General features: G+C 51.9%; 1 protein-coding gene across 11 annotated transcripts in view, besides 4 other annotated features; it reads right to left on the bottom strand.

Moving 5' to 3' along the window:
• Nucleotides 1-21387, bottom strand: part of VIPR1 (vasoactive intestinal peptide receptor 1) — a 48270-nt gene that overhangs the window by 22447 nt on the left and 4436 nt on the right. For 6 of the 11 annotated variants that reach the window (XR_007095725.1, XR_940500.3, NM_004624.4 and 3 more), the window contains exons 1-2: nt 12309-12479; nt 1268-1373 (exon numbers count right to left, since the gene is read on the bottom strand). Coding sequence is in view for 8 of the 11 variants with exons in the window: in NM_004624.4 (NP_004615.2) it covers nt 1268-1373; nt 12309-12386 (184 nt within the window). In the remaining 3 variants the exon portion in view is untranslated. Of the gene's footprint in view, nt 1-1267; nt 1374-2172; nt 2372-12308; nt 12480-21387 lie in introns of those variants that run through there. The other 5 variants (XM_005265439.3, NM_001251884.2, NM_001251883.2 and 2 more) reach the window with 3 other exon arrangements.
• Nucleotides 7471-7765: an enhancer, noted in NCBI's record as "tiled region #5178; K562 Activating DNase matched - State 8:EnhW". NCBI's record gives its function as "activates a minimal TATA promoter and a strong SV40 promoter by Sharpr-MPRA in K562 cells {active_cell/tissue: K562}" and the evidence as "EXISTENCE:reporter gene assay evidence [ECO:0000049][PMID:27701403]".
• Nucleotides 12221-12720: a silencer, noted in NCBI's record as "silent region_14244". NCBI's record gives its function as "represses an Ori minimal core promoter by ATAC-STARR-seq in GM12878 lymphoblastoid cells {active_cell/tissue: GM12878}" and the evidence as "EXISTENCE:reporter gene assay evidence [ECO:0000049][PMID:35858748]".
• Nucleotides 12781-12880: a silencer, noted in NCBI's record as "silent region_14243". NCBI's record gives its function as "represses an Ori minimal core promoter by ATAC-STARR-seq in GM12878 lymphoblastoid cells {active_cell/tissue: GM12878}" and the evidence as "EXISTENCE:reporter gene assay evidence [ECO:0000049][PMID:35858748]".
• Nucleotides 13408-13981: an enhancer, noted in NCBI's record as "H3K27ac-H3K4me1 hESC enhancer chr3:42542633-42543206 (GRCh37/hg19 assembly coordinates)". NCBI's record gives its function as "activates a minimal SCP1, AML or CMV promoter by ChIP-STARR-seq in naive H9 embryonic stem cells {active_cell/tissue: H9 hESC(naive)}" and the evidence as "EXISTENCE:reporter gene assay evidence [ECO:0000049][PMID:30033119]".

The following is a 21387-nucleotide window of genomic DNA, read 5'->3' as shown; positions in this document are numbered from 1 at the left end:
GCTGTTACATAACTGTAAGCTCAGCCGCGGGGAGATGGCCTGGGATGGAGGCCCAGAACGGGCCCAGCCATCTCATGCCTCCAGCCCAGACATGCCAGGCTGGTGTCCCTGGCAGTAAGACTTGAACCTGCCAACCATGCCCCACTCCCCATGGGAAGTCTGCCTCAGTGCCTCCCACCTTCCCAGACTCTCTGTTTCTCCAAACCTGCTCACCCCTCCAAGTCTGGTTCAAGTGGTACCAAAGAATTCCATCCATTCTTACCTGGGGCTGCTGAGTCAAAAGGAGGGTGCTGTCATCTGTCCTGATAGCCCTGCTGTCCAGTCTTGGTAGCTGGGCACTACCCTTCACACTGCCAGGTGGGGCTCTCCCAGCCCCCTGAGGAGGAGTGGCTGGGGCCCTCATGTGCTCAGCCCCTGGGGCTGACCTTGACTTGTCTCATCAGCCGAATAATGAGCTGATGGTTCATCTGGCCACTAAGGGTGGGTTGGGATGGAGAGGCCAGTGTGTTTGCCTGTATGTGTATGCTTAGGGGCTGGGCGTGTGTGTATGTGTGTGTGTGTGTGTGTGTGTGTGTGTGTGGTGTCACTATCGGTCCTCTGGATGTAGCAGAGGCAGAGCCTGGGGTTGAGAGGGAGGAGTGGGCCTCAGTTTCCAGGCTGAATATTGGCTGTGGTGAGTATTCCACATCTTTCCAGACAAAACTTGTGCCCCTTCTTGCTCGGGACCACTAAGATGGCTTTGAGCTTCCATGTGGTCCCTGTGGGGGTCACATATTGTGACTGAATGTGCCTCTTCTTCCTCTGGAGATGCTAACAGTACAATGTTCTAATCCTGGAGTGTGGTGTTATGGGGCTAATTCTCCCATGCCAGCTCCAGGGGGTCCTGGAACCTGCCTGCCCTCATTGGTCACAGATCCCCCACCACATAGCACCCTGGGCCTTGTGTCCTGGGTGGGCTGGCCGCCATGGAGATCTTCACTTTTCCTGGAGAAGAGGGATAGGGACCCCCAGAGGCAGAGTTGGCTCCATGTACTTTTCAGAACCCCAATTTAGTATGTCCTCCTTAGCTGCGGCTGGGAGCTCCCCAGACCTGGGGTGGGAATGTGGAAGCCTGTTAGCCCCTTTCTTCTTCCATCTGGCTCCCCAGCCGCTCCTCACCATCATCCAATAAATGTGGAACGAACGTGACTTGGATCTCAGCTTGAGACATGAGGAATCTTGGGCTCCCTGGGGGCATGCAGCCCCTCTCTGCCCATGGGGGCCTCACCTATTGTCTCATTCTCCAGCTGGGCCTCCTCCAGGCACTGCTTGTGCTGCACCTCGATCATCTGCACATAGTCACACTCCTCCTGCAGCCTGGCCGCCTGGCCGCCCTGAGAACAAAGACAGGGAGGGCCCATCAGCCTCGTCCATAGACTCAGGAGCACCAGGCCCAGTCTCTGGACTGCACCTGCCCTCTCCCTGGAAGAGATCCAAGTTCCAGATGGAACCCCAATACCAACCCAAGACTGAAACCTGAACCTGACCCCAACCTGTTGTCCATTGCCCCCAAACCTGGGTCGGCCCCGAGGACCCTGCCACAGCTTCTTGATGGCTCCCCCATTAGTGCTGCAGCTGTAACTGCTTTGTCTCTTTGCGGGTGGCACAACTCCAGATGGCGGCAAGAGGGCCTCCCCTTAGAGGCCTGAGCTGGCCCTCTGGACTCTGCCACTCTCCAGCTTGGTTTGAGAGTCTGTCCCTGTCTTGATCTCCCTGATGAGTGGGGCCAGCTCGTGCTACTACTCTGTTATGTGGAGTTGGATCCTGGCCTCTGGTTCCCAGGGCCAGCCCTGGGAAGAATCCAGGAGTCTAGCTGTATTTTCCAGCTTCTGTCATTCCAGGATTCTGTGCTCAGTCCCCTGGGTCACCAGGCTAGGGAGGGGACTCTGGCCTTCCTTGCCCAGACCTCACCTGCCTCCTTTTTAGTTTCTAAATAATTCAAGCTATACCAGATCTACTGAGGGTGGGGAGGTTTAAGGAAGTAAGAGAGCCCCTCTAGGATCCCACCAGGCCTCCCCTGCTTCTGGAAGGTGAAGAGAAGGGATGGAAAAGTCCAAGCTTCTCCTCTTCCCCTCCCTGTACCCTGGCCAGGGATCAGGGGTGGGCCAGACCAGTGTGACTGGGGTCACTGACCTTGTGGAAGACATGTGAGTGGGGGTGATGGCTGTCTAGGAATAGCCAGAAAAAACAGGTCTTGGGAACTCTTAGATGGGTGTGGGTGGGTGAAGGCCTCCATGGAGGAAGCGTTGGACTGGCAGCACCTTCTGCGTCTTTGGCTTTAGAAAAGTGGTTGCTGGCCCCGGCAACCCCACACCAGTTTCCTCATCTCTGCCTGGGAGAAGAATGTCAGTTTCCACCAGGGCCATAGAAGAGAGTCCAGCAAGACCACTCCAGAATCAGACATTCTCAGTGTCTCCTCCAGCTTGTCCCTCCCACCCTGGGACAGGGTCCTTACCTCCCTGGGCCTCAGTTTCTCTGTAGGCTACGTGGGCCTCAACCACCTCCCCTGCCGACTTAGAGATTCTTGAAGTGGGTCCGTGGGAAGAACATAGGTGGGGGACCTTCCTTTAAGGGGGTCCCTCCTGGCCTGCAGGCACCAAAGTGCTTAGTACTTTGACCATTGTTTTAAGTAAATCAGCTCCATTTACTGGGATGTGCATCCCAGCTGGCAGCCAGCAATCCATTGCTGCGGAGGGAGAGGGGTCCAAGCTGAAGCTGAACAACTCAGTGCCTAAGAAGCTGCACAGCCAAGTCCTTTCCACCCCAAACAGCTCTCTCATTCCTGTTGAGGGCTCTCTGGTGGAGCCTCTGTCTCACAGGTCACCTGCAGGCCAACACTCCCAGAAGCAGCTAGCACCATGGTTGACCTCGTCCAGGTCCAGGGAAGGCCTCCCTCTCCAGGACTCCTTTAGATTTCCCCAGCATCCAGACCTCACCTGCCTAAGTGCTGTTGCCCTGGAAGCCACAGTGAGCACGAGCTCCATCTTGCACCTTTACCAGCCAATGGGGGTAAAGACATTAGCTGGTAAGTCATTTAAAACTTATTGAAAGTAACACAGTTGTGTGATGGAGCATGATACAGTTACTCGTATAACTGTTAAAAGATAGGAGACTTCAAGGAAACTGTCTGTGGTTCCTCTTTGGGGTCATGTGCTTTCTCTCCTTCCCATAAGGGTTACTCAGGCTGAAATGCTCAAGACACTCTGTCTCAAGGGATTTGTGGCTGTTTCATCCTCAAGTATAGGGGGAATAGTGGCCAGGAAGATCTCAGAGGTGGCTTCTGGAAGAGGAATCTGGGTACTGGCTACCCTGCCTTGTGTCCCATCATTGGTCTGTCTTGCCTGTCTTGGAGCACATTTCTCACCAAGGTACCATCCCAACCCCATCTCCCACCAGCAACAGGGTTCTTTCTGCTTTCTGGCCCCTTCCCAGCGTCTCCTGATTCTCCTGTCCATTCTTATCTCTCATAACACTGTAACGTCAAAACAGGATGGATGGTAGCAGATATCTCTTGTTTCTGCCTTCCACCATCCTTTACTCTCTTCTGGTGCCATGTCCTCATCTGTGTCTGGGAAACAACCTCCTTCCCTACCTCTAGTTCATGGAGTTCTGATGAACCCTCTTCCAGGGGATTGACATGTGACCAAGGCTTAAGTCCATCAGAGCATTCCTGGCCACAGTGCCTGACACATGGCCTGAGTCAGGCTACTCAGAGCCAGGAGGCTCACTCCTGGGACTTTGGATTAAGTGATTAAGAAAGTGAATTTGGTTTTTCCCCACTGGACTGGAAACCTTAAAGGAAGCAAGGGCTCAAGCTTCTGCTGTCTTCTTGTTGACAAGTGGAACACACGGATAAAAACTATACAGCTGAAGGCAGAATAGAGAGATGGAGAAAAATCAGGTTCTCTTAATATTGTCTGGGTCTGTGAATGCAGCCATGCCTGAAACCAGCTCTACTGCTAGCAACATGAGCTGATGCCTTTCCTTTATGGCTTGGATCAGTTGAGTTTTCTGTTGGTCGCTGTAAACAAAAGTGTCCAGCCTTGCCCTCTGAGGACAAGATAATGGACGCCCTCACTTTCTGGGCCTTCTTAAGCCAGGACTGTGGCCATATAGTTTGCCAAGAAATATTTGTTTCCCAATCACCATGGGCGCCTAGGATTTCTGGCAGCTTCTGCTTGCGACTCTCTGAGGGTAGAAGAGTGTTGGGTCAACTTCTCCAGCCAACTCTGCCCCCTCAGCAGCACAGACACACAGCCCTTCCTTAGAGGCAGTTTGGAGAGAAAGGAGGGGTGGGTACCGAAGCCTGTGGTGTTTATGAAACAGTGGGTGTGGTCTGGAAGATGAGCTCTCTCTTTGTCACAATTTAGTTTAGTGTTGAGCCCTATCTGGGGAGGGGTAGAGGAAATGGAGACCCAAAGAGGGACCTGAGGTCACCCAGCAAATGCGCATTCCCAGATGGGACCTAAGTCTCTGACCGCTGGTCTGGACTGCATCAATCCTTCAACACAGCCTCGCCTTGGACCCTCTGGTCAACCATTGCCCTTTGAGGGACCGGGCCAGGGCAGCTCCCTCTAGTCCTTATCACTAAGGAATTCAGGCAGACTTTGGACTTCCTCTCCCACTTATTTATTTCCCTATTCTAAACATCCTCATTATCCCTCTGGACTTCAGGAACACAGAGAGAGTTGAAAAATTCCCTGGCTGAATATAGCCAAGTCTACTGATGTCAGGGAAGTGTTCCAGGGTGGGATATAGCTGGAGTCTGGGCTTCCTACAGAATGGGTATGCTGTACTCATTCTGTAGAGGTAGGTCATGGAGGATGTGCAAGTTAGACAATTAGAAGTGGAGTAAGAGCACCCCAGAAAGTAGAGCAGCGTGTGCACAGGCATGGAGGCATGAAAATGCCTAATACATGCAAGGCTGTGAGAAGCCTGGTGTAGCTGCAGCAAGGAGTTCTGGGGGCATCAGGAGACAAGTTGAGAGATGTAGACTGGGGTAGGATTGGGAAGGGCCTGGAATGCCAGTTTTCAAGTGTGAGCTTTCACTCCTAGGCCATGGGGGCCAACAGAGACTTGAAGCAGGAGACTGAGGATGGGGGATACACATTTTACAAAGATCCCTCAGGTTGCAGGTGGTGGGGCTGAAAGCTACTGCACCAGTCCAGGCAGGAACTGATGAAGCCTGGGCAGGACAGTGGGTATAAAGAGAGGGCACAGAGAGGAGGGGGCAGGTGGAATGAACAAGACTTGGTTAGTCCCTGTCTCCAACTAGACTCAGGATTCTCCTGCCAACTCCCTGTCATTCACCTCCCACATCCCGCTAGCCCCATGGCAGAGGACAGAAGAAGACCAGGATGGAGAAGATGCTGTGGACTTCTTCAGTCTTCTTCAGCCTGGGTCCCTTCTGGGCTTAGGAACTCCTGCCCCAAAGAAGGTGCTGAGAGCCCAGCCTGGACCAAAACTCTCTAGCCTCAGCTCAACGGCAGGGTCAGGCTGCCTTTAAGCTTACTTTTTGGAGCTCAGTCAAGCATAGGAATTGGTGAGGGGCTAGAGAGAAAGCCCTGCTTTTTCCTGTCCATGTGGGGTTCTCTGAGATCTGGAGCAAAGGCTAGGTGTGGTGATGGGGGTATGGGTGAAGATGCTGGGAGTTGTAGCTGTTAGATGCAAGGGGCTCTGAAAGACAGGGTGGGCCATGCTCAGGTTCGTAGGCCATGTTCAATCCCCTCAAGGGAAGCCTGAGACCACAGCTACTGCCTCGAATCAGAAGCCCCAGCCTCATCATCTGGGGCCAGAGAACTAGGGCAGGAGGAGCCAAGTAGCACAGCAGGAAGCATGAGTCCCTCCGAGGAGAAGCTGGTCTCTGAGAGGAGCACAGAATGCAGCAGGCTGGATAAGGTGAGGCAGGAGAAAGAACTGTCTGCAAATTGCCAAGCATGCAGAGCCTCCATGGATGATTTGTGCTTCTGAGGTTTGTCAAGAGGGCTATTTTATTTTTTTCCAGCCTGCAACTGTTAATGGAGGCAGGGGAATGGGGAGTAGAGGACAGGGGGCTCAGGAGTGGTTTCATTTACCCTCTCCCACATGACCCTAGCCCTTTACAGAAACCATCTCATATCTCACGACTTATTTACTCTACTCTGCCAGCCCCCTGCTGAAATCATGGGGTAAAAAAGAGACACAGGGGGAATGGAGGAGCCAGAGAGAAAGCAGTGTGATCACAGGCACACAGGACAGCAGCTCACCTTCCCATCCTTGCTGGCTTTTGCACGTGAGTGGGCGAGAACGTGCAGCCCTTGTAGTTGGGAGGCAAGAGGGGAGAGAGGAGAGAAAAGGTGGGAGGAGGAAGGGCAGAAAAGGAGTGGGTAAAGGACATAAGTTGGATCATGGGATCCAGGAGTCACAAAAGAAAGGAGAAACATGCTCCCAGCTTTGCAGAGAGCACTAAAGGAAATCAAAATAAGACTTCCCCTCATTGCAGGGCAGCCTGCTAGGGTGATGGGAATGTATAATAGTTTGACCTGGGCAGTGGTGACACAGGTGTACACATATGTGACAATTCACTGAGCTGTCAATTCAGATTTCTATATTTTACTAATTTTAAAAATATCTAAAGTCCCAGCGCAGCATGTGACACGCCGTCGCCCACCCTGGAAGTAGTAGCCCCTCTTCACGAGGTGGCAGAGCCTAGTTCAGACCACAGGTTCCAGAATGAGACTGTCTGCTGCTTCCTGGCTGGATGACTTGGGCAATTTACTCAACTTCATCTATAAAATGGGGACAATAACAATACCACCTACTTCTAGAATTGGGGTTGAGGGTCACATGTAAAAGACACCAGCCAGGCACCAGGGGGGTTAGCAGCGACTGCCAAAGCTCTAGTCCAGTCCTCATGCCAGGCTGCCCCTGCTGTCCACATCCAAGCCTAGCCACAGCCGTAGTGCCTTGCATAACCCCAGGTAGGCTGAAGGTCCTACCCACTGACAAGTGCCAGCCGTACCCACCAGAGGTCTCAAGTCTGCCAGTTACCTTCGCCCCGTACTGATTTCTCTTCCTTGTATTTTTACATCCCTTAGCCAACAGCCCAAAGCCTCCCCGCTGCAAATTCTTTTTTTTTTTTTTTTTTGCCAGCCTCACTTCCTCTTGGGGAAGGCTGAGCTCTGGTAGAAGAAGAGAATGAGAACTGCTGTGTGAGTGTTGATGGGGATGGGGAGGAAGAGGGGGAGACATAAGGATACAGGATTGTGCTTTGGGTAAGAAGAACTTTCCACATCTCAGAGTGATATCAGGACAAGGGCTCTCATAATTAGCAGAACCCAAGCACAGACACTTAGCTTGTTCCCATCTAAGGGTTCTTCTTGGAAGGTTTCTTTTGGGGGCATGAAGCCTTTATTTGCAGAGGAACACAGGCTAAGCATTTAGTTTAAATCCTCTGCTGCTTGTTCACGATCCTGGCCACACCTAGGGAACTGGAGTTTGCAGGACTCAGCTTATAAACACAGTGCCTGTGGGTGACGTTGGTGTTGGAGCCACCTGCAGAGGGCTGGACTCCAGCACAGGCAGCCACAAGGCTATGAGTCCTTAGTACATGGAGATTGGTTGGTGGCCTCTTCCCCCTCCTCTGGTGACCTGCTGTGCAGGAAGAACTTGTTTTGAAGTTAGGTAGTAGGAGGCACTTCCTGAGAGATAATGGGCCGCATGAGAGGGGCTGCACGAAAAGACTGGGTCCTCCCAGTGGAGGCTAGCCTGAGGCTCACTGCCAAGGCACCCTGCTTTCTCCCTGCCAGCTCGCTGGACAGTCCCGTCAGACACAGACATGAAACTCCTGCGAGAAGACCAAGCCCTGGATAATATCACCACTCATCCTGTGGCACTTCATTACATTCCGGCTGGGGATATTTGAATATTAGATATTAAGCAATTCCTGTCAATTTTGTTAGGTGTGTAATGACAGTATCATAGTTATATAGAAGAGTGTCCTTTGGTTTTAGAGATGCATTCTGAAATGATTTGGGGTAAAAGGTCAGGAGGTTTATAATTTACTTTAAAATACTTCAGCCCAAAAGCAAATGAAGCATATATTAATTGTTAGATGTTAACAATTGTCAAACCTCGGAATTGGGTATTTGCACGTTCATTATAATGTTGTCTCTGCTTGTTTAAAAATTTTCACAAAAAAAGTAAAAATTTAAAACACTATACACGTGGTGGAGAGATTAAACTGTTTTTTTCTTCTTCAGAAATACTTCTAAGGGGCCAGGCGTGGTGACTCATGCTTGTAATTCCAAGCACTTTGGGAGGCTGAGGCAGGTGGATCACCTGAAGCCAGGAGTTCAAGAGCAGCCTGGCCAACATGGCGAAACCCTGTCTCTACTAAAAATACAAAATTTAGCCAGGCATGGTGGCGGGAGCCTGTAATCTCAGCTCCTAGGGAGGCTGAGCCAGAAGAATCGCTTAAACCTGGAAGCTGGAGGTTGCAGTGAGCCAAGATCACACCACCACACTCCAGCCTGGGTGACAGAGCAAGACTCCATCTCAAAAAGAAAAAAAAGAAAAAAAGGAAATACTTCTAAGTTATGTGAGAGAGTACATACTGACATTTTCAATGGGTACAATAAAAATCATTTTGTGTTAAGAAGTCAGAGAGGGGAAGGCAGAATCTGGGGGTTGAACAGAAGGATTTAAGAAAGGGACTAGGCTTTACATAGTCCCCAGGCCCCATTCCCTGCTCCATGGCCAAAGGAGCCACAGTGAAGGGCCCAGCAATGGCAGAGTTGTGGCACGTGGCAGGTTAGAGCCCCTACCCTGGTCTCATGGCCCATGTTGGATTTCCACTGAGGCTGCCCACGTTGTGAAGGCCCATCTGCTCTGAGAGGCCCCATTGCCTACCTAGGCCTGGAGCCTTACCCCCAAAATGTTTTGGCCACCTAATGAGGAAACGTCCCCCATTCCCCAGGACTCCTGCTGCCCTGGGAACCTGTGGGAAGATGGGGGCCAGAAATAGCTGTATAAGTTTGCACAGGGCTCCCAAGCTGGGGACGTAGGAGAAGGGATGACAGTCACACAGTTCACATAGCCACCTTCACAACCTTTACCTCCTTCAAAGCTCACAGAAGTCCTGCTTGAAAGACAAACCCCCTTTCACAGAGACCCTGGTGCTCCAGGGGTAGATTATGTCCCACTCAGGAGGCAGAGTTGGCTCCAGCCTAACCCTCTCCTCCCACTTCTCCTGCACACTGGGCGGAGGCCTCTCACCTTCCCTTTTGTGGTGAGGAACCCGAGGCCCTTCCACAAAAGTTAAAGATGTTCCCAAGGTCAAGCCATTGCCATGGAGTGGAGTGAGGACCAGCTCTCCTGTTTCCAGCCTGGGCTCCCCAAGGATGTCCCACAAACCTCAGAGAAGGCATAGTCTTAGTGCACCAGGACAGGAGGGTAGAAACTTCCAAAAGGGCTCGCTTTTCCAGCATGGTACCCTGGGAGCCCTGGCCAGGCCTAACTGAGGTGGTAACCTCACTTGAGGAGGAGGCCTGACCCAGATGCAGCCATGTTTCCCAAAGCTCACAGGGTGGCCTGCTGGGGGCCAAGAGGGCCTGGGCAGCTGTGGTCCGCCTCTGGAGAGGCTAGAGGCAGGTGGCAGGGGCAGCAGGATGCCGGTGGCAAGGCAAGGCCTTCAGGAGCTTGTGGCCACTGATCAACCTCAGAGTTGGGGAGAAGTCGAGCCTCTCCCAGTCCCTGGGACTCCTCCTTCTGGGGGCAGGCCCATTGGTCCTGTCAACAGAGGCTGTTTTATGGTTTAGGGTGAAAGATTGGCCCATCTGGTCAAACTCTTTAGGGCACAGTCCTGCTTCTTCCAGGAGCCTCCCCTGACTGTTCCTCTCAGCAACCCCTGCCCCAGTTCTAGGAGGCTGTACCCCACATCCACCTGGACTCTTTCTCCTAAGTCACTGGGTCTGGTCTCCCACACCAGATAGAGAATTTCCCACGAGGAGGCCTGTGACCCTCCTCCCCCAGCCTCGTACTGGGCATTGCCCTGAGCAGCTCTGCTTCTGGATGAGGAGTCCCTGTGCCTGCTGTCCGGGGGGCAGGGGCAGTGGAAGGCTTGACAGGTGGCCTTGGGGCAGACTTCCTCCTCTGAGACACTGGAGGTTTTCTTTCCTTTTTTTTTTTTTTTTTTTTTTTTGCCTCCCTTTTCAGAGATTTCTCCTTCCCAGGCTGAAGTCAGGGCACCATAAACAGGAGTGATAAGGCCTTGGGCCTTCAACTTGAACTTTGCAGCTGCCATTTTATGACTCTGATAACTCCTGTCACCCCGCCCCCCCACCCCGCCGTCACACCGAGTCCGGCTAGAGCAGGTTTGCCCCATTCCATGAGGGAGCGATTGGTAGCTGGTGGGGAGGAGGGAGAATCAGGGAGGGAAATAGGGACCCCTCACTCCAGCCTGCCCTCACCCAGTCCTGGTTGAGTCCCTTCTCCTCTCTCTGTGGACCCAGCCCCTGCACTGGGCTGTAAGAAACATGGGGATGTAAGAGACCCCAGCCCCTGACCTTATAGGATGGCCAGAATAGCCCAGCCTGGGAGGTGGGTAGGGCTGAAGGGTGGGGTTAGAGGGGGAAGGGTTGAGTTGGCTGGAGCAATCAGGGAAGGCTGTCTGGAGGAGGAGATAGAGTTGGGCACTAAACGAATAAGATGTGGAAAGACAGGGGGAGGGTAGGCATTGGAGGGAGGAGACAGATTTGGGCTGTCTCAGGAAGTGTGAAGTAGAAGTGGCCTGGTGTGAAAGGAGACCTCTCTGAATCCACTCTGCCCCTGGGCTCAGAAGCTTCTCGGGATGGAGGAATGGGGTGACAACAGTGGTCCCAAGATCCCCGGTTCATCCAAGAAGAGTTTGAGTGGCTTGAACCTGGGGTTGGGAGGGCCAGATGGTGGTTGGAGAGGCCTGAAGGCTTCATGCAAGTTGTGCCAGAGCTGTGGCCTCTGGGACAGAGCTTGGTAAGATTTTGAGTGCTCAGGAGGTGGGTCTCATGGCTGTCATGGGTGGAGGTGAGGCTCCTGCCAATTGTCAGAGGTCCGCTCCTAGGACAGGCAATGAGCTTCCCATTCCCAGGGTGCTCAAGACATCCGCTAGATGGAAACACAGAGATACCTGCTCTGGTGGAGGTGATGGTAAGGGAAGTGACCATGGGAGAGAATGAACTAGATAATCAAGATTCCTCACCCTCCCCCAGCCAACTTGGAGTGGGCATTTAAGGCCCTGCCTAAGCAGCAACTCTAGATTACTCAAAGTCTGGGGTAGGGAGAAAATCAACCTTTGTCTAGGTCTAACTGGTGGGAGACAGATGTGGCTCTTGTGTCTCTGGACCTCGCTTTGCCCATCTGTAAAATGGGCTTCAGTAGACTCAATGAGTGCTGAGGTCTCCCCTGTTCTAGAGTGAGATGATCCATGCATCTCCTGCCTCAATCAGCATCTGCCTCCCAGCCCAGGTAAGCCATCCACAGGAACACATATCACACCCACACATGGGGCACACGAGTACACATGTATCAAGGGCATACACATACCCACGTTGAGAGGAAGCAGAAGTGGGAGGAAGAGGGAGGCCACTGCTTGTTGGCATTGGCTCCCTGCTCAGCTCTCTCCATGTACAGGCCTGGCCCCTCCTGTTAACCACCACCCTTAGCCCCTCACTGCCCACCAGCTTCCACCTTGGGGTCTGGTACCTTTTTGCTTTGCTCAGTGGGAGGGCACACGGAGGGATGTGCCTGTCACTCACCTGATCCCAAGAACCCCTTCTCAAGTCCTGGGGCCCCCAGCACTGGTTCTGATGCTGACAGCCCACAGGCACCTCCAGACGGTCACAGCACACAAGAACGGCCCCTCACATCCTCCCTCTCACCTACGGTGTACCAAACCTTCCATCTCAATCGGCCGCAGTACCTGACTCTGCACCCACTGGCCGCCCCACCCCGCTGCGCACCCACAACCACGACAAGGAAGGCAAGTCTGGGGCCCACTCTTCCCCGCTGCCCCTCCACTGATGCTGTGCCTGCTCCGGGCTGCGCTGGGAGGGACTGGGCACGACCAATATCCCAGCCCTCGCGTCTAGGTTCGGTCTGGAGCGGTGGGAGGAGGCGAGTCGAGATGCTTGATGTCCCCTATTCCTCTTACACAGACACGCGCACAGACGGCCCGGCTCCCGCCATCCCCCACCTCCCCCGCCCTCCGCAACCCCCAGGCTGCCGGGACTCTGGGCGGCCGGGCGAACACTCACCGCCGGCCCAAGGGCCCAGGCGAGGGCGCCTGCCAGCACGCATAGCCAGCGGGCGGGCAGCGGACTTGGCGGGCGCATGGTCTGCCCTGAGCCCGCGGCGGGCGGCCCCGCGCGGGCAAAGAGCTGGCGGGCGGCGCACCAGGCGGGCGATGGCCGGGAGCCTGGCAGAGTGGCGCTGGCGCTGTGGCCCCAGAGCTAAGAGGCGCAGCTCAGGGCTGGGGGCGGGCCCCGGGGGCTCGTCTGACGGGCGGCGGATCTAGCCAATGGATGGGTGGAGGCGGGGCCGCCGCGCAGGTATGGGGCGGGGCTGGGGAGCCCCTGCCAGTGAGGAAGCTCTGCTCTCTCTTTGCCAATCCCACACCTTGGTCTTCCGTCGTGAGACATTTATAGGCCTTCGCCCCTCCGGGCTCATCACCCGGGAATCTCGAGACCCGAACACATTCCATCCTTCCATGCTTAGCTCACGACCTTCGCAAGCTCCCACCTCTGTATCCACCCTCAGCCCCATCCCAGGGCGCTCCTCATGTCTACCCTCGGAGCCACCTCCTCCAGGAGGCCTCCCCGCCAGCCTCCCCATTTCCCACCTGTGCGTCTCCGAGGGTTCGTGCGCGCAAATCCGATTACGAGACAGGAAGTGCCACTTATCTTCCCAGGCTGCGAGCTGGGGCCCAGCAAGTGTCCAGGCGCTGACAGAGATCGGGTTGTTTGATCAATTTTCAACAACCCCAATTCATCCTTCGCGCCGAAGAAGCCAGGCGAGAGGAAGCGAGGGCTCGAAAGAGGCCCGACTCTGGGTTCCTTGGTGTTCCCTGCTCCCGGGTGACCTGGTGGGGCGCGCTCAGCACCTGTTGGGTGCCCTGGCCCTTCAAGCCTCGGGAGACCTGCTCCAGGGAGGATGAGGTGTCCGCACCCTCGCGGGTCTCGTCCAGGGCACCTCCCCAGGGAGGCTGGGCTGAAGTGCCAGCGCCCTCGCGTGGGGAGCGAGGTCTGCTCCCAGCCCGCAGGCCGACTCCGCAGCTGACCTAAAACGATCCACAGACGTCGTCCTCCTCCTGCATTCCCTATTTTACAGCTGGGGATACTGGGGTCCAGAGAGGGGCCAGGACCCTGGCCGCCTGCCTTTGGTGCTGAGCTTCCAAGGGGCGGCTGCTCGGCCGCTGGGTGACACCGGGTCAGCCCCTTTTCTCGTTTATTCGTCCCTGGCATGGGGAGCGGGGTCACCAGCTCTGCGCCCTGGGAGCGCGTCTTCTTGTGGACCAAGCGCAGGTGGCTGCTAGCCCTCTTTCTACGGGCTCGAGCCTGCACAATCGAGGCTGGAGATGTGGTCGCGGCGGCAGGATAGAGTGGCTGGCGGAGCCGTGTGACAGAAGGAGAGGCGGAGTTCAGTGGAGAGGCGGAGAGGGCAGCGGGTCCCAGAGCCCTGAGCAGAATGTGCGGCTACCTGAAGGAGGTCCCGCGCTAGGCTTTGGCTGAACAGCAGGCGCGCAGGAGCTCCCTGAGGACCCACCAGGGCTTCCCTCCCTACAGAGAGGGAACGTTGGGATGCTGCCATGGGGTGGGCTTGAGGGGAGTGGGGGAAAGCCGGGAAGGGATGAGTGCCCTGGCCCTTTCTTCAGGGCGTACTTACACTTTCTTTCCACTCTCTCTTCTTTCTCTTCTTTCTTCCTCCCTTCCAGCATTCCATCCCCTGCACTTGCTCTTTTTCCCTTTCCTCCCTCTCCTCCTTCCCTTCATTAAAGGGAACCTCGCCACCATGGAGCCCCTCCCTCCTTTCTTCCATGCACATTTATTAATCTCTTTCTGTGTGCCAGGCCCTGTGCTGTGCACTGGGGGCACAGAGGTGGATGGGCAGCATCCCCTTGCCATGAGGGGAACTTGGGGAGCTACTGTACTCCCTGCAATTTCTACCTCCTTCCCGATATAATCAGTGAGGCTGGACACAGGCCTTTCCTTAGATTTGGGAGCTGTGGAGATGCCTCTGTCCTAGCCTTTCTTGGGTTTGTACTCGATCTCCCAATGGCGGGAGTGTTTGAATCATCCTCAGCCATCTCCTCAGCTATCCACACCCCTGACGGCTGCTGTTAGCTCAGAAATCAGGGGTCTTTGTCTCTCCTTATGACCCTGTGTACCCCGTCTCGGGTCTCAGTTCCCTGGCAGGACAGTGGAATTGTGTCTTTTTCCTGGGAAGTTACTTGTGCTGGCATGGTGTCCTAGGAGCCCTAGATGTGAAGAGCAAACCTGTGGGTTTGGGGTGTCATGAATCCTCAGCCCTCACTCCTCAACACATACATACACACACAGCACCTAGCCAGCTGCAGGATGCTGAAATCCTATCATTAATGTGTCATGCCCCCAGGGTTGTTGAAGTTCTCCTGCTCTCCTGGAGGACAAGGTTCTTGGACACTTGAGGGTATATGATGGGTGTGAGGATTGGAGAGGCAGACCTCACTTTGCCATGTGACCCACCAGTGAATGGCTGGTGGGCAGGGTGGGGAGGGAGGGAGAGGGACTGGCTACCAGTGGGGATGGGTTGCCTTCCCCTGGCTCTGGAGGGGGGCCCACACTACCCTTCCTCTCCTCTGTTGGAGGGCTGGATGGCCAGGTTGGAGGCAGTGAGTGGCTGGGAAGGCATCTGATGCCTTTGCAGGCCTTGCTCCCCGGAAGGGAGTAGGTGAATCAGAAATAATTGTTTCCTTGCAGATTCTTCGGAATAAACATCACTTCTTTGTTCTTTCAGAATTGTTCTCCTGGGGGATCCACCCTTCCTTACCTATCAAAGGGCACAAAACATATTCAGAAATGAAAAGAGCAGAAAGAAAATAGCAAAACCAAACAAAAACCTAAAAAATTCAACCAACATTAAATGTGACTGTGTTTCAACTAATTGCTCCCGAATGTCCTGTCCTGTGTTCTGAAGCACTGGGGGGAAGGGGGTCAACCGTGGGCCCACTCTTGGGGAGTCCTGTAGAATCTGCTGAGGAAGCCATCCTTTTGTGCACCCAGTTGATCTGGGAAGGCTTCTTGGAGGAAGAGGGATGTCAGAAGCAGAGGGGGGGCCGACGGACTACCTGAGGGAGTGGGAAGCCTGTGGTCCCAATCTCCCCACCCTGTCCAAAGCCTAAGCCCCTCTGGAGTCTGCCTTGCCTTCCCAGTCCAGGCTTGAGGAGGAGAGCCATAGTCGCCTCCTACTCTCTGTTCCCCCATGTCCTTCTTGCATGGATTCCTCCCTGGGGGGGTCTGTTCTGAAGTCTCCCCTCTGGGATCCCTAAAACCTGTCCCTAGTCTCTAGCACCATCTCATATCCCTTCTGGATGTCAGAATCACATGGGTGCCAAGGACACGGGAGGTGGCGGGAAAGAGAGAGAAGTGGAGTCACTTGCCATCCCCCGTGACAACAGGCATGGCACAAAGAGAATCTGCAGTTACTCATTCTGAGCCTGCCTGGCTTCCTGCCTGTCTCATCCATGCGCTGTGTGCCGCCCTCGCCTCCTCTCAGAATCGTGCACTCACTGCCTTCAAGGCTTCCAGCTCAGGGGCTCCATGGTGGTGAGGTTCTGTGGTGGAGTGGGAAGGGGGCTGGGGGGGCCACAGAGTGGCCTTGACCTGTACGCTGGAGGCCAGGCTAGGAGATGGTGAGGAAACCACCTGGCTGGGGGAGTCACTGCTCTAGGATTCCCCTGCCAGAGCCACCCACGTTGCTGTCTGGATGCAGGCAACATTTGCTTTCTCCGGGCTTCTGAGTTGAAGGGACCTACACTTTTGGTCTTTATCCATAGAGCGGGGCTGGTAGCTCTGGCAACATGGAGTGATCACCACCTCCCCAGGGTGCACCTTCTTTTGGGGCCAGTTCTTCCTGTGAGAAGATGCACCTTAACTCCAGGCTGTAATTTGGTGGAGGGCAGGAGAGGCCTGGGCAGGCATTTAAAGAAGAAATATTCCCTTCCTCCCTTCCATAACAGCATGCAGTGAATATCATTCATTCATCCTTCACGTCTCAACACCCGCACTCATCTGGGGATTGGGGACGTGACTGTGTCTTAGACATGGGCTGTCCTCTGCAGGGAAGCCTAGCACTGCTTGGGTGTGGGATTGTGGGGGATCTTCTGTTGGTGCTACACCTGCATCTAGGAAGAAAACCAAGTTCACGGGAGAGCAGGTGATGGAGAAAGAATCATCCTGACATAACAGATTTGGAAATGAAGCTCAAGGACAAGTTCTGAAATGGCTATTCCTGGTCCTGGAGGCTGGGGCTTAGAGCTCTGTTGCGGGGAAGGGTGGTGCTAACTATAGGTGTGTCAGTTCAGGTCCTCTAGTGAGCAAATGCTAAGGTGGAGTTAGGAGTGTGAATGTTTATTGGATGGCAGGGGGACCTGTGAGAGACAAAAGAGGAGAAAGTAGGATTGGGCAGAGAGAAACTCAGACTGCATTGCAGATCTGAAAAAGTCTTTGCCAATTTGATAACGAGTTCCAGGGCAAAGGCTGGAATAGAAGCCTTAGTAACCCTACTGTGCTTTGTCAATGTCTGGGGCTGTCTGGGAAGAGCATTGACAGGCCCAGTCATAGACCTATTGACAAGAGCCTGAAGGCAATGTGGCTAGAGGCTCCAACTCATTGCCCTCCTCACAGTTGAGTGGCAAGCTCTTTCTAGAGGTGGATCCAAGTGATGCCCCTTTGCAGCTGCCACAGAGGGGAAACTGAGGCATGGAGAATGAAGTATGTGAGAGAGCTCCTGCTCCAGGGGATAGAGGAAGAGGGGACCTAGGTCCTACCCTTGGAGCTCCTGCTCTGGGCAGAGAGGAAAAACCTGAGAACTCCTTCCCTCAAAACCCCAGGACTCAGTTTTGTCCAGGGGGTCAGCAGTCTGTCACCAGACAGCTTAGCAAGGGGGTTGTATTATTCTGTTTGCACACTGATGATAAAGAGATACCTGAGACTGGGAAGTTTATAAAGAAAAAGAGGTTTAGTGGACTCATAGTTCCATGTGGCTGGAGAGGCCTCACAATCATGGCAGAAGGCGAAAGGCAGAAGGCAGGCAAAAAGGGGTTGTGCAGAGGAACTCCCATTTATAAAACCATCAGATCTCATGAGAGTTATTCACTACCACAAGAACGGTATCGGGGAAACCGCCCCCATGATTCAATTATCTCCCACCAGGTCCCTCCCACAACACATGGGAATTATGAGAGCTACAATTCAAGATGACATTTGGGTGGCGACACAGCCAAACCGTATCAGGGGTCATGGTGTTGGGAGTGTGGGAGACTCTAAAGGGGAGGACTGCTCCACCCTGTTTTCAAAAGCAGCCACAGCTTCTGGTCAAATGCTTGCTGCAGTGTGCGTGTGTGTGTGCGTGTGTGTGTGTGCATGTATGTCCGCGTGTAAGAGCATGTGAGTGTGTGCCCTTGTGTGTGGGCATGAGTTCATACAGACACATCTACTTCCAGCCAGGGGTCTGAGAGCAGGGCTTGGCCAGCGTGTGCAGGGAGGAAGTAGAGTTAGGGACAAGGTTCAAGGTAGGAAGGGCAGAGAGGGGCTGAGTTTCAGAGGGTGCCCATAACCACAGACAGCACTGCATCCTCTCTCAGAGCTCATTTCTGAGGCAGTGAATTCCTGAGGGGGGTGAGGCCACTTAGCCCAGGGAGAACTCAGACTAACTCCACAGGGGATCTCAAAGTTCTCACGCTAACCTCCCTCTTCCCAGTCCTGCGTTCCTGTGTGTAGCTGACCTTCGGCAGAGATTCTGGAAAAGGGAGATACTGTAGGCAGGACAAAACACAACATGGAGTTTAACATAATTGATGCCACCAGAGATTAGTGTGTGTGTTAAAAATGTGAGGGTATCCACTGGGGAAAAAAGAAAGTATGTAACTCCCAAATAACCAGAAAAAAGAAAAATGAAACTAAGAAAACTCCATGTATCCAATAAAAGATTGTTTGTTTGGGAGGATTAAAAATAAAGATTGTTTGTTTGGGAAGATTAAAAATAAAGATTGCTCGTATGAGAGGATTAAAAATAAAATATATGATAAATAGAAGCATCAAATCATGTATTAGAAATAATTACAAAAATGAATCATCATAGTCAATGGGAATGGGTGAGAATTTAAGATAGAAAACAAAAGGCACAAAGAGGATAATTCATATTGTTAGACCACTCAGTCTTTCAAGAAGATATAAAAATGCCAAACGTCTATGCCTCTAATGCTATAGCCTCAAGTTATGTAGAAAAGGGAGGGACTGTCAAATCTACAGTCCTAGTGGAAGAGTTTAACACCCTTCTCTCAGAAATTCTTTTCAGTTCTCAGAATAAGGAGAGCCACATCTCCCTCTATGTGTATATGTAACTAAAAATATGGTGTCCAGCAACCAAAGCAAGTTGCAGAATGATATGTATGATACAATGTTACTTTTATAGAGTTAACAATACTATCTGCAAACAATACTATGTAACTTTTATGGATACTAATTATGCAGTAAAAGTGTAAATCATGTCCAGGAATGATAAACACAAAGACATGTTATTAGTTACCTCTGCAAAGAGAGGGAGGGGAATGGAATAAGGGAGATGTATTAGCTTTTTTTTTGAGACGGAGTCTTGCCCCAGGCTGGAGTACAGTGGCACAATCTTGGCTCACTGCAACCTCCGCCTCCCGGGTTCAAGCCATTCTCCTGCTTCAGCCTCCCGAGTAGCTGGGATTACAGGCACACGCCACCACGCCTGGCTAATTTTTGTATTTTTAGTAGAGACGGGATTTCGCCATGTTGGCCAGGCTGGTCTCGAACTCCTACCACAAATGTGGCTGCTTGAAACAGCACTCATTATTATCTCACATTTTCTAGAGTCAGAAGTCCATATAAAGGTTAGCTGGGTCTTCTGCTTGAAATCAAAGTGTCAGCCAGGACTGTGTTTTCATATGAAGCTCAGGGTCTTCTTCCAAGTTCAGTCAGGTTGTTCAGTTTTCATTGTTATTCCAAGTTCTTTCAGGTGGTTCAATTTTTTGCAGCTATAAGATTCCCTACTTTTTTGCTGGCCATTGACTTGGGTGTCATTCTCAGCTGCTAGAGGTTGACCTCAGGTTCTAGCCATGTGACTCTCTCTGTAGGCAGTTCACAACATAGAGGTTTGCTTTTTTTGACAGGCCAGCAAGAGAGTATCTGCTGCAGCTTTGAAGCTGTCTGACTTATGTCTCTGAACTCTAGAACCTCCTTTTAAAGGGCTCACCTGATTAAGTCAGGCCCACCCACACTCACAGGGAGGGGATTATACAGGGTGTGCACACCAGGAGGCAGGAATCTTGGGTGCCATCTTAGAATTCTGCCAACCACAGGAGGGATACACAGGGGATTCTCAACTGCACTGAATATTTTATTTCTTTAAAAAATGTCTACAGCAGGCCAGGCACAGTGGCTCATGCCTGTAATCCCAGCACTTTGGGAGGCCAAGGAGGGCAGATCACAAGGTCAGGAGATGGAAACCATCCTGGCTAACATGGTGAAACCCCGTCTCTACTAAAAATAAAAAAATTTAGCCGGGAGTGGTGGTGGGCGCCTATAGTCCCAGCTACTTGGGAGGCTGAGGCAGGAGAATCGCTTGAACCCGGGAGGCAGAGGTTGCAGTGAGCCGAGATCATGCCACTGCACTCCAGCCTGGGTGACAGAGTGAGACTCTGTCTCAAAAAAATAAAAAATATGTTAAAAAACTACAGCAAATATGACATTATATTAAGGTCTAATAAAACTGGGTGACGGATATTTGGGTTTGATTTTCTTATTCTTTTCTCCTGTATGTTTGGAAATATTTCACGCATAGACAATTAATAAATTTTAAAACACCAGAAATCACCCTTTTAAGTAATTATTATGGTAAGGAAGTAAAAATTGGAATTATACATTATTTAGAAGTGAATAACAATGAATATTAAAATAAGAGATATGAACATTCTAGTAACTGGAGGAAAATTTGTAGCCTTAATTGCACTGATAATAAACAAGAAAGATAAAATTAGTGAAATAAGTTAACAGCTAAATATACTAGAAAAAAATAATAAATTAAATCCAAAGAAAGAAGGAATTAGTAACTATAAAAACAGAAAACAATGAAATCAAAATAAAATATCAAAGTGATTAATAAAGTAAACTTTCCTCTTGAGCAGACCAGTAAATAGACAAAGGTTTAGCAAGGCTGATCACAAGTGAAAGTGGAAATATACAAGAGAAAGGACATAGTTCCAAGAATAGAGTATATTTGAAAGCTATGAGGGAATACTATCTTAATGCCAATATATTTGAACATCTAGGTGAAATGGGTGCTTTTCTAGAGAAATATAAACCATTAAATTTACCCCTAAAAAATACCAAGCTCAGATAGTTTTATAAGAGAGTTACATAAACCTTTAAGGCACAGATAACTCCTATGTAATCAAACTGTTTGAAAGCAGTGAAGAAGATGAAATGTTTTCCAACATATTCTACGAGGTATCATAATGCTGATATTAAAACAAAGCAAATATATGGTAAGTAAAAAAAAACTGCATTTCCATTTTATAATTTCATGGATATCAATAAATATATAAATCTATGAATTAATTTAATACATATTTAACGTCTAATGTTTAATTCATGTTCATACATAAACATAGAAGCAAAAATTAAACAGCAGCGTCAATAAAGTACAAAGTTGTCTAGTTCCTGAGCTAAGACAAGGGAGACAAACCACGGCTGCCCCACTGGGGAAGGTTTGAGGCAGGTCTGTTGTCAGCTGCTGTGCCTTAGGCAGGATGCTGCTGGCTGCTGCCTGGTGAGGTGAGGGGACCTGGGCCCAGGACGGGTGTGGGCAGAGGCAGCCTCACCTGCCAGGTGGGAGTTGAGACTGGAGGAGAGGACCCTGGCTGGTCACAGAGTGGCTGCCCTTGATAAACCAGATGTTTCCAGAAAGGGATGGGCCCAGAGTCTGGGCTCCCATTGGCTGAGAAGGTAGAGCACAGCCCAGGTCTGTGCCTCTCTGACGAGGACCTCAGGACCCTGAAGAAACGCCCAGAGAAACCCAGGTACAGCCATATCCTGATCCTTGCAGAGCAGG

This window comes from Homo sapiens, chromosome 3 (assembly GCF_000001405.40).
Source record: "Homo sapiens chromosome 3, GRCh38.p14 Primary Assembly".
NCBI classification, from domain to species: Eukaryota; Metazoa; Chordata; class Mammalia; order Primates; family Hominidae; genus Homo; species Homo sapiens.
This window is presented reverse-complemented; position numbering and strand designations above follow the sequence as displayed.